General features: G+C 37.1%; 1 long non-coding RNA gene across 1 annotated transcript, besides 1 other annotated feature; it reads right to left on the reverse strand.

Annotated features, from left to right (window-relative positions):
- Positions 1–545: 545 nt before the first annotated feature.
- On the reverse strand, positions 546–15,691 carry LOC124902167 (uncharacterized). The gene is made up of 2 exons (XR_007061531.1): positions 15,398–15,691; positions 546–1,370 (listed from the first exon to the last, which is right to left on the reverse strand). It is a non-coding gene; the product is annotated as an uncharacterized LOC124902167 (long non-coding RNA).
- Positions 14,951–15,807: an enhancer, noted in NCBI's record as "H3K27ac-H3K4me1 hESC enhancer chr9:68298872-68299728 (GRCh37/hg19 assembly coordinates)". NCBI's record gives its function as "activates a minimal SCP1, AML or CMV promoter by ChIP-STARR-seq in primed H9 embryonic stem cells {active_cell/tissue: H9 hESC(primed)}" and the evidence as "EXISTENCE:reporter gene assay evidence [ECO:0000049][PMID:30033119]".

The following is a 16,910-nucleotide window of genomic DNA, read 5'->3' on the forward strand; positions in this document are numbered from 1 at the left end:
TATCCATGAGCATAGAATGTTTTTTCATTTGTTTCATCCTCTCTGATATCTTTGGTGTTTTTAGTTCTTATAGAGACCTTTCACCTCACTAGTTAGCTGTATTCCTAGGTATTTGATTCTTTTTGCAGCAATTGTGAATCAGATTGCATTCCTGATTTGGTTCTCCGCTTGACTCTTGTTGGTGTATGGGAATGCGAGTAATTTTTGTATGTTCTTTTTGTATCCTGAGACTCTGCCAAAGGTGTTTTTCATCTTAAGGAGCTTTCGGGCCTTAAGCTTTTGGGCCTATAAAGTTTTCTACATATAGGATCATGTAATCTACAGACAGGGATAGTTTGACGTCCTTTCTTCCTATTTGGGTACCCTTTATTTCTTTCTCTTGCCTAACTGTTTTGGCAAGGACTTCCAATACTATGTTGAACAGGAGTGGTGAGAGAGGGCATCCTTGTCTTGTGTACAAAATACACTAAAATAAAATTGCTTAAAACCAGTGATAAAGAAAAATTCTCAAAGCAGCCAATGACAAAAACACGGTTTGCACAGAGGAACAAAAAATGCCAGCAAACATTTTATTGGAAACAAAGAAAATTAGAAGATAATGAAGCAACATCTTTAAAGTACTGGAAGATAAACATTGTCAGCTGGGCATTGTAGACTCAGAGAAACTATCTTTCAAGATGTAGGTGAAATAAAGATTTTGTTCAGGCACTTAGAACCTGAAAGAAATCAACACCAGTAAAACAACACTATAAAAAATGTTAAAGAAAGTGTTTCAGGCAGAAGTAAAATAATATCAAAAGGAAATTTGGATCTACACAGAAGAATGAAAAGCACTGGAAATGGTATCAACATGGTTAAATATATAAGATCCTTTTATTTCTGTTTGAATTCAATTGATTGTTTAAACAAGGGGTCAGCAAGCTATAGCTTCATGGGTGGACTGCCTGTTTATGTGAACAAATTTTTACTGAGACACATTCATGCTCATTTGTTTATGTATTATCAATGGGTGCTATAGAATTACAAAAGCAGAATTAAGTAGTTGTAACAGAGCCTAATGGCACACAAGCCTAAAATATTTAGCTTTTAAGGAAAGCATGTCCGGTTCTGGTGGCTCATGCCTGTAATCCCAGCATTTTGGGAGGCCGAGATGGGCGGATCACGAGGTCAGGAAATTGAGACCATCCTGCGCAACATGATGAAACCCCGTATCTACTAAAAATACAAACATTAGCTGGGTGTGGTGGCATGTGCCTCTAATCCCAGCTACTCGGGAGGCTGAGGCAGGACAATCGCTTGAACCCTGGAGGCAGAGGTTGCAGTGAGCTGAGATGGCACTACTGCACTGCAGCCTGGTACAAAGCTAGACTCTGTCTCAAAAAAAAAAAAAAAAAGAGAGAGAAGAAAACAACATTATTAACCTCTAATTTAAACAAGAATAATAACAATTTATAATGAGTTTACAACATATATAAAAATAAATTACATGACAATAACAGAACAACAGTTAGGACAAAATAATGAAAATGTTGTTACTTCATGATACTGTATGTAAAGTAGTATATTATAATTTGAAGGTAGAATGTGATGAGTTAAACATGTATACTACAAACTCAAAAGCAACCATTAAAATTAACAATATAGAGAGTTTTAATTCTCAAGTAAAAAAGGAGATAAGATGAAACCATAAAATATATTTAATTCATAGAAAAGAAGGCAAACAAGAGGGAAAATAAGCAAAAAACAGATGGGATGGTAGGGGAAGCAAAATTTTATTACCATCTTCTTAGTTTTTTTTTTTTCCTCTGCTAAGCCTGAGAATTAAATTGATATAAGACAGATCAACAGGAAAATGCATACAAATTTATTTAATACATGTATCATGTGGCATGAGAGATTCTTTAAGGAAGGAAGACTCCATGACATAATCACTTATGTTCTGAAGTAGACACAGAGTAGTAAATTGTGAAATATGACAAGACAAAGGAGCTGGAACTAGTGTAGTTAATTGGGTGAAGAGGTGATTAACAGGATAAGGGTTGGTTTAACAAGGTCTGTTTGTACAGGTTTCCCTTGCCTCAACTTCTCATCCTGGGTGATGAGACTGTTACTTTCCTTCTTGTATAAAGAGGGCAACTTTCATGTAGAAATTTTACCTCCTACTTTTAAGAAAAAGGAAAATCAGAGTGCTTTAAAGGAAAATCAGAGTGTTTTTCTTGCATCTGCTATTTTTCAAGTGTCTTTAACTCAAAAAAATCAATATGCCAAAGTGGCATGTTTGGGGGTATCTGGTTCTGAATTCCTTCAGGAAAGATAGAAAGCAAAAGCAAAATAATAGGTTTAAAACTAAAAATATCCAGGTGCGGTGGCTCACGCCTATAATCCCATCACTTTGGGAGGCTGAGGTGGGCAGATCATGAGGTCAGGAGTTCGAGACCAGCCTGGCCAACATAGTGAAACCCTGTCTCTACTAAAAATACAAAAAATTAGCCAGGCATGGTGGCGGGCACCTGTAATGCCAGCTACTCAGAAGGCTGAGGCAGGAGAATGGCTTGAACCCAGGAGGCAGAGGTTGCAGTGAGCCAAGATCATCGCATTGCACTCCAGCCTGGGCAACAGAGCCAGACTCTGTCTCAAAAAAAAAAAAAAAAAGAAAAAAAAATACATATATATGCACACATAACCACATTACATATAAATGGTCTAAATATACCAATTTAAAAGCAGATTGGATCAATAAAACAAGATCTAAGTTATTACTGTCTAGAAGAAATTTAAGAATATCCTAATAAAACATATCTATGTAAAAACAATAGCTGGCATCATACTTAATGAAGAAAAATCAGTTTATTTCCCCCTATTTCAGGAACAAGATGAGTCCATTAACTCTTAGCACTTTGTTTTAACATTCCACTAGACGTTCTACCAAGTAAAATAGACAAAAAACATAAACAAAAGAATTACAGACGGGAAAGGAAAATGTAGATTGGTTTTATTTATAGACGGCATGTCTATGTAGAAAGTCCACTGAAATCTACAAAAACACTGCTGGCTATAATAAGTGAGTTAGCAACATAAAAAAGAAAAAAAGCAACATATTAAACTAATATTTCCATATACCAGCAATGAACAATAAAAAATTAAAATAAAAGTACTATTAATAATATCATGAAAAATGTAGAAGAATTAGGAATTAATCTACCAAATGATGTGAGAGTCTGGTACACTAAAACTCAAAACACTGCAGAAAGTTAAAGAAGACTTAAATAAATGGAAAGATGTAATATGAATATGGGTTAGAAAATTCACACGGTAAAATGTGATTATCCCTAAATATAGATTCAATACAATCCCAATTAAAATATTATTAGGCATTGTTTTATAGGAATTTACACACTAATTTTAAACCTTCAGTAGAAATGCAAAGAGTCTAAAATAGCCAAAATAATTCTTAAAAATAAGAATATATTTGAAGGATTAGCACAATCTAATACCAAAGCTTATGAGGCTACAGTAATGAAAATAGTGTGATACTGGCATAAAGATAGACAGAAATGTCATTGGAAGATAACAGAAAATTCAGAAATATATGTACAGAATTTTGGTAAATTGGTGTTCTCCAAAGATACAAAGGTAATTCAGTAAATAAAAGATAGCCCTTCAACAAATTCTGCTGGAACAATTAGATACTCATATGCAAAAAGTAGAACCTTAACACGTAACTCATGATACAAAAATTAATTTAGTACAGATCATATGCCTAAATGTAAAATGTAAAAACAAAGTGAAAAAAAAAGGAAGAAAAATTATGTATAGGAGAAAATATAGAAAAGCATTTTACCTCAGGCTAGTAAATACTACTTAGACATGACACAAACACCATGTTTCATCAAACTAGGAATTGACAACTCGAGTTCATCAAAATGTAAAACATATGTTCCTCAGGAAACACTGTAAAACAAATAGAAATATAAGACACTACTGAGAACAATATTTGCAAAATATATGTCTGGCAAAAAAGTTGTGTCCAGAAAACGTAAGAACTCTCAAAACTTGATAATAAATCTAGCAACTCTAATAAAAGTAGGCAAATGACTTAAATGAATACTTCTTCTCTAAAGAACATATGTAGATAGAAAGTAAACACATGGAAAGATCCTCAATATCATTAGTCATTAGGGAATTAATTTGTGTCTGTCAAAAATGAGTTGGGTACAGTTGCTCAAGCCTGTAATCCCAGCACTTTGGAAGGTCAAGGCAGCAGGGTTTCTTGACCCCAGGAGTTAGAGAGCAGCCTGGGCAACATAGTGAGATCCTGTCTCTACAAAAAAGAAAGAGACATAGCATGGTGTCTCTATTTAGCTAGGCATGGTGGCACATGCCTGTAGTACCGGCTACTCGGAAGCTGAGGTGGGAGAATCACTTGAGCCCAGGAGGTGGAGTCTGCAGTGAACTCTGGTTGTGCCAATGCACTCCAGCCTGCGTGACAGAGCAAGAACCCATCTCAAAAAAGAAAAAAAGAGGTCAGGCGCAGTGGCTCACACCTGTAATCGCAGCACTCTGGGAGGTCAAGGTGGGTGGATCACCTGAGGTCAAGAGATCGAGACCAGCCTGACCAACATGGTGAAACCCCATCTCTACTAAAAATACAAAAATTAGCTGGGCATGGTGATGCACGCCTATATCCCAGCTACTTGGGAGGCTGAGGCAGGAGAACTGTTTGAACCCGAGAGGTGTAGATTGCAGTGAGCCGAGATCGCACCATTGCACTCCAGCCTGGGCAACAAGAGTGAAACTTCGTCTCAAAAAAAAAAAAAGAAAGAAAGAAAAAAGAATGGCTAAAGTTAAAAAGGCTGGTCATGCCAAGTGTTGGCAAAACTATAGAGGACAACCAACATACATGCACTGCTAATGGTAATGGAAATTAGTACAATGACTCTGGAAAAAGGCTTGTCAGTTTTTAAAATATTTTGACGTATGCACCTATCATATGACTGCCAATCAATTTGTAGGGAAATGAAAGTATATGTACATAAAAAACTTGTACCAAAGCATTCACAGCACTTTTTTATAGGAGAGAGGGGCTAATAGTGAAGAGCATGTAACAATCAAATATTCATTAACAGATAAATGAATAAGTAAGCTTTGATATATCCATATTTTGAAATACTGCAAGCAATAAAATAAATGAAACTTTCATCCATACTATAAAATAGATTAATCTCAATAAATATGCTAATTAATAGAAGCTAGATCAAAAGAGAACAAACAGTATGATATCATTTATATAAAAAGAGGCATTAGAGCCTAGTAATTAAGAGTGCAGCTTCTGGAAGCAAAATCCTTAGTATGATGTTTTGGCTCATTGACTGCAGCATTTATTTTATGTGCGCTCTTGAGGTTTTTATAGAAACAATATGCCTCAGTTTATTCATCTATATAATGACTATATCGATAGTCATCTACTTTATAAAATATAGTATTTTATAATGTAATACTTTATAATATATATTTGATATATATTTTAAAATGTCTTTATTATATGTTATAAAGTATAAATAATATAAAATAATATCTATAGTTGTTGACTTATAAAAATAAAGATTAAATGAACAAAAATATGTGAAGCACTAGTTTACTACCTAGAAAATGGTACATTCTAAATATTTTCATAATTGTAATAAATAAATAAATGTATCCTTATGTTATTTTATTAATAATAAAAAATTTATTTTTAGAATAATGAATATTATAATTATTTTTATTTTTAGAATAAATAATAATGAATAATAATATTATTCATTCTTACACAACATTGAAAAATCATAGGGTAAGATGATTGAAATTCTGTGTATAGCATCTCAGCAGATGAGATCTATAAGAAAGAACCATTGCACCCCCATTTACTTAAATCAGTTATAGTTTGTTTGAAAAAAGTCATTTATTGGAATCACCACATGACATCAATCAAGAGCAAAGTGTGTAGAATACTGTCAAGTTTTTCTCCAAGAATTTATTTCTGTTTTCAATTTGCAACTCACTGAAGCATTGAACATTTTATGAGCTCTACAGCTAACAATGCCTGGGAATTTAAATATTTTCCATGGAATATGATTACTTCAAATGAAAAAAAAAAGCAGATATGATAATGAATAATTTACCATGCATATATGGTACAAAGTAGAATCTTTAAAAATAAAGACACAAACAGCAACAATCACAAAAACCTCAATTGTTTCTGCTTTGTTCTATTTTTAGTGAACTTAAAATTTTAAGAGAAACTCTTTCTCCTTGTTTTTAACACGTGTAGAGAGAGGTGTGGAATATTGTAAAGCTTTTTATCTGACTCAGCCTGAGTGTCAGTAGATGAAGACTCATCGAGTTTAGTTAGGCCGAATAGTTTTTTCTAAAAGATATGTGACGCGTTAATCCTTGGAATCTTTGAATATAATGACACGTTAAACAGTGAATATTACCTTATATGGCAATGCTTGTGATTAAGTTAAGGACTTTAAGGGAAGGGGCTTATTCTGAAATATACTCACGGGTCTTTAATTCAATGACAAATGTTCTTCTTCTTTTTTTTTTTTTTTTTTTTGAGATGGAGTCTTGTTCTTTCGCCCAGGCTGGAGGAGTGCAGTGGTGCAATCTCTGCTCACTGCAACCTCTGCCTCCCAGGTTCAAGCAATTCTCCTGCCTCAGCCTCCTGAGGAGTGGGATTACAAGCACCTGCCATCATGCCCAGATAATTTTTATACTTTTATTAGAGGAAGGGTTTCAGCATGTTAGCCAGGCTGGTCTCAAACTCCTGACCTCAAGTTATTCGCCCTCCTCGGCCTGTGACCAGGGAGCAGAGATTGGAGTGGTGCAACCCCCAGAAGCTGGGGTAAAGGAATGCTGGCATGAGTAAAGGAATGCTGGCAGCCCCCAGAAGCTGGAAGATCCACAGAATGGATTCTCTCTAGGGACCTCAGAGTGAGTGTGGCCTCACTGTATTTAGGACTTCTAGCCTCTAGAACTGTTTTAGAATACATTGCTGTTGTTGAAGTCATTTAGTTTGTGTCAATTTGTTGTGATAGCCTAGGGAACTAATATAATGAAGCATGGAGAGAGAGAGAGAGAGAGAGGATAAAAGGTGAAAATCATGTGCCAAAACTAAAGAAAAGAGATGCTGACATTTGTGATTAAATAGAATAATTGCACTATTTAAGATTAATCACTTGAGCCTCAGAGGTGAAGGCTGTAGTGAGTCTTCATGGTGCCACTGCATTCCAGCCTGCATGACAGAGAGAGACTCTGTCTTAGGGAAGAAAAAAAAAGATTAAGGTGGTCCAGAATGCACCCAAGGATAAAATGCAAAGATGATCTTGCCCCATGTATATTTTAGCATACTACTTAGGTACTATTTATTTTTTAATTATCTCCTTTTTACATTTTGACAATTTTACCCCAGTGGTCAAGCCTTGTATTAGAAAAGACAGAAAGAAGGAAAAGAAAGAAGGCAGGAAGGAAGGCAAGGGGAAAGAAGGGGAAGGAAAGGAAGTGGAAGGGAAGGGGAAGAGAAGGGGAAGAGAAGGGGAGGAGAAGGGGAGGAGAACGGGAGGGGAAGGGGAGGGGAGGGGAAACATGTTGCTTTGGACAGAATAAATGGGTAAGGGTTTCTATTTTAATTAGATTAAGATTAATTAGATTAAACCTCTGAGGAAGTCTTACTTGAGCTGAGAAACTAAATATGAGAGGGAGGAGTACCACTGCATTGGTTATAGATGGGGTAGAAGTCTACAAAAGAGTTCATTGAGGAATAGAGTAGTAAATAAGTGACTTAATAATGAGTTTGTTGCCGGGCACAGTGGTTCAAGCGTGTAATCCCAGCACTTTGGGAGGCCGAGGCGGGCGGATCACGAGGTCAGGGGATCAAGACCATCCTGGCTAACACGGTGAAACCCCGTCTCTACTAAACAAAATACAAAAAATTAGCCGGGCATGGTGGCGGGAGCCTGCAGTCCCAGCTAGTCGGGAGGCTGAGACGGGAGAATGGCGTGAACCCGGGAGGCGGAGGTTGAGTGAGCCAAGATCGCGCCACTACACTCCAGCCTGGGCGATAGAGCGAGACTCTGTCTCCAAAAAAAAAAAAAAAAAATAATAATAATAATAATAATGAGTTTGTATTGTTCTTATTTTGCAAAAGAACGCAAGATCTGGGTAGAGAAAGGGCAAGAGGGAGGACTTCCCAGATTGAATCAATAATATTAACAGTATCAATCTGCCACTAATAATTATTTAAGAAAAGTATTTTTCTGCTTTCAGTTTTATTTATTAAATAGTTTCTGCTAGCCTAATGTTAAAGTCTGCCAACTAGTTCCTTCAAGTTAATCACATTCACTTTTGATTCCCTCTTAACACATTAAGATATTTTATAATTCTGTGAGTTTAAAATCCAATGCAAATTCATTGTGGTCAGGCAAGATGCAAGACCAGTCAGGCAAATACACTTCCCTTATTTTTTATGGGTCTGAAATATCTTTTGTCTTGGGAGATGTATTATTATACAAAAGATCTATTTGGCAATTTATAGTTTGCTTTTTATCTATTCAATTGTTCCCTGGTATTCTTAGAACAGAAATGCGAACCTTTTAAGAATAATAACATGCCAATTACCTTTAATTACTCTCTAGCTCTTTCAGTTAAACAAAAAAAACCTCTCATTTTCGGTTTAGTTTGTAACTGAATAGAACATTTTATATCTAAACCCTTAATGGAAAGGCTTTCCTATTTCCCACAATTTTCTTTTCTATTTAATGTATTCTCTAAATTTAACACATTATTTAAAATGCCATCCGTATACCTGATCAACTTGAAAAGATGGAGAAACACACAAGTAAAGTTTATTATCTGTTCACATTTTATTCTGTTTCCATTTTCATAATCAAATAAATGTAGACTGTAAAATACTTATTTACAAATCTGTCTGATTTATATAATAAACTCTGAGGAAACTGGAATGAAGTAGTGCTACAAGCAAGGGACAGAATAAAGCTTTGTGTATTAATTACCTGATTTATACTTTAGTCCCTTTAAGTAAAAGAATGTAACAAATAGAAGGATAGTTATTAATATATTTGGAGGAGAAAGAAGGATAAAATGAAAGAAAGATACAATGTTCTTAAAAAACGGGAGTTTTATCTTTTTTCAGAAGTTTAAAAAATATTTAAACATCTTCCTTTATGTTAGCGCATATTTATGTTATACATTTCATTTACAAGTAATTGTATGGTAAATAGTTACAAAAACAACAAGGAAAATCTTTGAGTTAAGGAGCTCATGATTTTCAGTGTAAAATACATGTTATTTGAGTAATTTGGGAAACTGACAGAAGCTTTCTTGCAGTCAAGAATACTGCTCAAAAATTAATTTTAAAATAAAAATAAAAGAAAAAAAATCCTGAAAGCTTATGTAGCAAAACAAGTATTGTAGTCCATTACCAAAATTAGCCTTTTCTGAAATGTTAAAAAGCAAAAAGATCTTAGAGCAGAATTTCATATACAGTTCATTTTGGGACTGATCTTACTTCCTTGGTAGGTGGTCTTACTTCATCCTGTTGGAGCCCATCATGGAGAGCTGTTTTACAAATATTCTTAGCTCTACTACTCACAAAAAAATTCAACCTATGACTCCTGTTTCTGATAAAGTAGCTATTTAAATTCATTAAGAATGTTTCATCATTTTAGTATGCAAAATGCATTGTTAGATTATGTGACACATGCTGTCTTAAAAGTTAATAAATCTCCCAGAAGAAATTAGACTCAGATGCTATATTTATTATGGAGAATTAAGAAATACCTAAGGTTACTGTAATCATCACTTAGGAGTTTTGAATCAATTATATGAGAAACTAAAGAAGAAACTTTGACCAGAAAAAAAATGAACCAACAAGAAAAAAATCATATAAAGTCATTTTATTGGACACAAATGCTAAAAATTAGAAAAACCATACATTTTACTCTATCAATCTATTAGGAAAAACTATAGAATATGATAGTGATTGCATTGATTCTGCTTAGCAAATTAAATGCAAAACTAAGATATTCACCAAATATATAGTTATTTTCTAAGAAATAAAACTCACACATACTGGTGGCAACTGCCATTTTTAGCAGAAACCAAAACTATTTCCTGTTAACAAGAAGGAAAAACCATCAGTGAACACTCAAGTAATAATCAGGGGACTAGGATGGACTCTCAGTAAGAAACCACTGGAATATACCTGGACTAAATCTATTCTAACAAAATTAAGTATACCAACTGAATAGTTTTGTGTGTGCATTTGTTTTTACTATATACTTTTATAATCTCAAAAGTACCTAAAAGGAGGCAAAACAAGAAAGGATTTGTCTACAGAAAGTAAAAATAAGAATGATTATAAAATATTGTTAAAGAAAAGACACTGCACAGAATAGTCATGGAGATTTCTGTACTAATCACCTTGATCATAATGAATAATCACTGAATTTCACTGGCCTATTTTCCTCCACAAGATTCTATGTTAGGTAAGCAACTTTGGGTAATTCAATAATAGGAAAGATGTTTCTTTTATAACATATCTGATTTGTACAACTATTTGAAATACATTTTATGCTATAAAATAAAAATGGTAACTCTTATTTACACAGCTATTTATTGTGAATTTGTATAAAGACAGCTCATCCTTAGAACATAATAGACTAGGATTCTTGGTAAAGTATATATTGTATATCTGAAAAATGTAATAGTGACAATATTAAAGTGTTGCCACTTAGTGCTGTGTTACCTAAAGTGTGTGACACTTTCTGTCAGTCTTATCACTGACATTTAAATTTCAGATATAGGTGAATTCAATATTGAAGTGAATAGAGCTACCGACATTTGCTTTCCTAATATTCATGGAAGTTGTTGTTGACCTCTCATAGATAAATAAGCAAATAATATCTTCAAAAATATATCTAACTTGACTCAAATACTTCTAAGTATTTTGTCATTTGAAGGGATATGAGCAAGTTGAGAAGAAGAAATGTGGAGAGAGAAATATTCATGAAAACTAAATGTATAACATTCAACTATTGCTCAATTCTTAGAAATTTAATCACTACTTATATTTTAAAGCAAAATATTTTTGAACTTATTTAGAAAAATATGACTTCATCTCTCATATGTCCATTCAAAGTTTTAAACAAAGTATAAAAGGAAATTAAACAGTGGAGGAAATGAGAAAGGTCATAGGCATTCAAGAGGTTTCAACAAATTTCTGGAGGAATGAAAGGTAATTGAAGGATGTGTTAAAATAATTTCTGTTATTATCTTTATAGATTTAGTGTCCAGTAAACCTTTTATAAACAATCCAACTTGTTGTTTTGTGTTCCTGAACTTTATTTAAACTGAATTATATTGTACATATCCTTTTGTGACTTAATCATACCACTGCATATTATGTTTGTGAGAGTAAGCCACATTAACATATCTAAATAAAGTTATCTATTTTTTTCTAAAGTGTAGTATTCCACTGTATGAATCTACCACATTCTACTGTTGTTTAACCTTTGCATTGCTTATAGTACTTAACTGAGCCTGTAAATATTTTGGATCACATTTCTTAATGGCCAACCATGTACATACAAAATAAGGAGTGAAAGCCAATTGCTGATTAGAATATATGGTCATCTTCAATATTACTGGGTAATACAAGCCTCTTTTTAAAACGGATATAATTTCCATTTCCAAGAAAGCATATGAAATTATTATTGCTCTATATGTTTGCCAGAAGTCTGTCTTGTCAGACTGTTTTTGGTCAATCTGTTGTATAAGTAATAATGTACATATAAAACATTTTCATTTGCATTTTTGTGTTAAAAATATGTTAAAGTGATTCTAAATATGTATGGTGGACACATATTTTACATTTTATAAAGCACATGTGCAAGCCATTTTCTTTGTTTTACTGTCGGGTTTTCTGTAATTTTTGCCTGGCTTTACATTTAAATATTGATCGCCAAGGAATTGATTGTTACATATTATATAAGGTAAAGAATCACTTTAATTATTTTCCATATGTATAGCCAGTTTTCTCACTCTCATTTATTGGCAAATTTATTTTTCACCACTGATCTATAATACTAGCTTTCTTACATATCATGGGTTCTTATATTTTCCTTACTGTAGTCTACCTATTCCATTTCATTGATTATTTATTACTTTGTTAATATCACATTGCATTAATTCTTATAATATTTCCTGTAATATATTCTTCCTTCCTCAATAAATTATTAACTGAATTTTAATATTTTTAGAGTTTACATAAATTCTAGAATTAGCTTGTCAATATCTAAATCAAACCTTACTGGGTTTTACTTTGGATGCACTAGTTACAAAGATTAATTTTGGGGAGAAGTGATTTCATTAAAGTTTTTCAATTCAAGAATATATTTATGTCAATGTTATGTCTATGTTTATTTGAACTTTATTTAAACTGAGTTATACTGTACATATTCTTTTGTGACTTAATCATGCCACTAAATATTATGTTTGTGAGAGTAAGCCACATTGACACATCTAAATAAAGTTCTCTACTTATATGAAATGCATTTCAATATTGCATAATACGTTTGTGTCAAAGCATCTTGCTAAAAGCTCATATTCATTAGTATAATGTATCTTACAATCATTTTGAATTTTCTGTGTACTTAGTGTCATCGGTAACATAGTAATCTGTTTTCTCTTTCATAATTCTTATTTTTTTTAATATTTACAATCCTATCCCAGTGTCTAAGACCTGCAAAAGGATAAATAAAATTGCTTGTACCATCTATGTTTATTTTGTTCCCAATCACAAAGGAAATATTTTAACATTCCATTGTTAAGTGTTATAATTTCAATAGAACTTTTGAAAACAAATGTTATCAGTTAAACTAGATTCTCTTTTAATTTCGGGTTGTTAAAATGTATGACTTTTTAAGAAAATAAAATTAAATATGCTTATAATATTGTTAAGTTATTTGTTGTGGTGTATCATATTAATTGATACCTTTACATGAGGCCATTATTGCTTCCCAGGGTTTCTTAGAATAAACATTGGCTGTGATGTCTTACATTTTAATGCATTGCTTATTTCTGCATGGTACTTTTTTAAGTTTTCCTTCATTATTTTCATAAATTACATTGGTGTTTAATTTACTTTCCCTTTACTATCCTTGTCAGGTTATAATATCAGAGTCATAATAGCATAATAAAATGAAATAGAGTATGTTCTTTCCTGTTTCATGCTCAGAAAGAATTGTATGTAAGAATGGAATTATTGTTTTGTTTCATGTTTGAAACAACTTGCCAGTAAAGTCATCATGGCTTGAAATTATCTTTATGATATGATTTCTGACTACTGATTACATGCATTTGTTGTAGCACAATTCAGATTTTTCTTTTCACTTTAGGTTCCTTTTGGAAAAATGCATGTTTCAAGTAATTGTACACATTTTACATATATTTCCAAATTTATTGAATTAAACGTTTTCATACTATACTAATTTACCTTCTTGATATTTGTATTATTTATAACAAAACTCAATAAACTGTGGCAAATAAGCCAGACAGTATTTATAAATAAAGTATTACTGGAACACTGTCATGCTCATTCATTGACATACTGTCAATTTATGCCACAACAATAGAATTGATTAGTTGCAACAAACCATATAGCCCAAAAACCTAAAATATTTACCATCTGATCCTTTCCAAAAAACAAAAAAAATTCTTGACACCTGATGTATAATTATTTCCTATTTTGATTCCTGAGATTGCATACTTGTTTCTTCTCTTAATTTTATCAAGCCATTTCTCCAGAGTTTTGTTATTGTATGGCTCCTACAACAACTAACAAATTTTGGCCATATTTCTTGACTTTTCTTTCCCTGTATTCTTAATCACTATGCATGTATTTTTTATTTCCTTTTATTTCTGTTGATATTTCTAACTTCTTCCAATAAATTCAAAACATTTTAAATATTAATTTGTTGTCCTCATAAAATAAGAATTTAAGGTTCTACACTTTCCTCTAAAATGACACATTTTATAATGTAGTATACATTTTTTAATTAAAAATATTTTATAATTTCCATTATGATTTGCTCTTGGGTGTTGAGTTACTAAGAAGTATATTTCTGAGGTTTTTCTTCAATATGACTGACTATGGATATTCGACTCTAGTTATTCTCAGAAAGAGAAAGCAAAGTTATGGATAAATAATCGTTAATTCCAATATCTATATTGACGGAAGAGTGCTAGAGCACCACAAGAAGAAACTTGAACACAGAAAAATAAGGAAGCAAGAATCCAGCAGAGATTATACTCTGAGGGACTTGATGTTCCATGGAAAAGCATAGGTGGGGGTGTCTTTTGCTCCTCTCACCCCTGCGGCAGACTGCTTGTTTCTGAACTGTTGGAGAGCCCTCGATTCTCACAAGCCCAAGCACTGGTGTGGTCTGCAATCTTGGAACAACTTGAGGACAGAGAACAAGGCCACCATTTCCTGCAGTGCCACTTGCCCTTCACCCAGCCCCAAGATGAGGTGGTGGGCACCATACTGGATATGCCTCTGTGGTGGACCTCTATAATGCCTTTGAGTGACAGAGATGCTTGCCCCATCCCCTTGACGGCTTCCTTCTCCGTCCCTGCGTCGAGCTGTGGCTAGATTTCGCGATGAGGGCAGAGGGCGAGAGGCGTGAGAAGCATCTTCTGGAAGGTCTGCCGACACCCTCCTGCGGGTGGACAATGAGCGCTTGGAGGCCGTTGTCCTTGGTTGGGGAGCGGTCGTCTGGATCTAGGCTAGCAAAGAGGCTGCTCCGGGTGGGGAGGGAATGAAAACCCCTGCGGCTCCGACACAGATGCCCACATTGCCCAGGCCTTCACAGACCCCCAAACCGGAACCGCCGGGAAAACGATTGCCAACTGGCCACAACACCCAGGCAGAGACGCGGGGAGAGGCTGACCAGAAGAAAGGCCGACGTGCAAGAAACCCAGCCTCCGGCGCACAGGGAACATGTGTCCCAAGGCGCATGCACACACAGACGGACAGAGACAGAAAGAGAGGGCGACGGAAAGAGCGAGAAGGGAGAGAGAGAGAGACAGAGACGTAAGAGACAGTAGTGGGCACACAGACGCGCGTGCGCGCGCACACACACAGACACACAGACACACACACACACACCCATAACGCACACAGACATACAGCAGGTAACACCCACCCCCAGGCAGCCCCTGAAGCTGCCGGGTTCTGCTCTCCGCGACGACGAGCCACCGGTGAGACAGCAGCCCACGGGCACACAGGGAGACCTGTCCTCGACATCACAAGGGCGCCACTTTTGGGGAGATTCACCCGCACACCGTCCGCGCACGCCTGAGGCTGGGATCCCGCGCTGCCTCCCCGGCGATCTGTCTGAGGTTTCTTCCTCCTGGGGTTTCTTCCTACTGGTGGACCCTCCGCGAATCTCGGCCTCCGGAGACCGTCCTGGTAACTGCCCTGGCCAGGGCTGGTCTCAGCCCCGACTCTGACGCACGATCACACAGGGCTCCTACTTCGCCAAGTCTCAGGGACCCATCCCCGGGCAATGGTGGCGGTCACTGTGACCAAAGCGGCGGCTCCGGCCTCGCGCATGCGCACTGGCGAGGCCGACTCACCCGCCCCCACCCCCCCTTACTCGGCAGAGTCAGGCTGCGGACCCTTTAAAAAATGGCGGCAACGCGGCGGCTGCGGGGACTGGGGCGGCGGTGCTGGAGGTTGCGGCGGCGGCTGCGGCGCAGCCCCAGGCGGCGGGTGGGAAGAGGACTACCAGAGGGGCCTGCGGGAGACCCAGGGTCGGACCCATAGGAGTCCTGTCGTCAGGACCTCCGTGATCGGTCTTCTGCTTGGGTTCCCGGTGAAGGAGGAGCTTCGGGGTGTCGGCTGGGCTGCGCGGACTCCTCTTGGGATCCGATGATGGATCCCACCCGGTGATCGGGAATGGGGTTACAATGCAGTGAGGCGGAAAGGCTCTCGCCGGGGCACAGAAACATCCCCAGGGCCGCAAGGCGTGCTGTCGCCTGCAAAGGCACTGACCCACGAGCCCACTGCCTCCCTCCTTCCTGGGTGGAGCAGGGGCCTGCCTTCATCTCCAAGGCCCGGGGGCTCCGGCATCTCGACGCGGCTTCCGGCGACACGGGCAAAGAGAGACAGAGGCTAGTCCGAGCCGGAGCCAGTGTGACCACACGTGGCACTGACGTCCCCCAAGAGCACATGCAGTGAGCCTGTGTCTCTGAGGCCGTAGGGGGCGACGACGAGACGGACAGTGATGTCCAGGCCTGCGCCTGGGGGGCCACTGGAGACCTGCCCCTCAAAGCGGAGGAAACGCCAAGCCCACCTGAAAACCTGCGAGACAGGGCCTTTGCGCGAGTCCAGTACTCCTACTTCGCCAAGTCTCAGGGACCCATCCCCCAGCAACGGTGGCCGCGCAGAGAGGCGCACGGCGCCGGCGCAGGCGCAGAGAGACAGGAGGCTGATGGGGGGAAGTTGAGGCACCTGGGGCAGAGAAAAAATGCATCGCCAAGCTGTTTCTGGGTCATCCATGTACGAAAATGTCTTCCCATCAGCCCTTGCGCTGGTTCCTAGGGACCCTGGCATCCGTCGTTGCTGCCCAGGGTGCGCGTCGGGCCACTAGGGGTACCCCAACTCGGAGAGAAGGACCATGAGTTGAATTTGAAGTTTGTGGGAATAGAGGTGAAGCACCAGGGGCAGAAAAAAAACAGGAGACCTCGCCTCAGACAAGCGGGGCCTGGGTCCCCCATGGATGAAAGTGCCTTCCCATTATGCCGTACGCTGGGCAGAGTGGACAGTGACGACCCTGGTTTGATCC

This window comes from Homo sapiens, chromosome 9 (assembly GCF_000001405.40).
Source record: "Homo sapiens chromosome 9, GRCh38.p14 Primary Assembly".
In the NCBI taxonomy this organism is placed as follows: domain Eukaryota; kingdom Metazoa; phylum Chordata; class Mammalia; order Primates; family Hominidae; genus Homo; species Homo sapiens.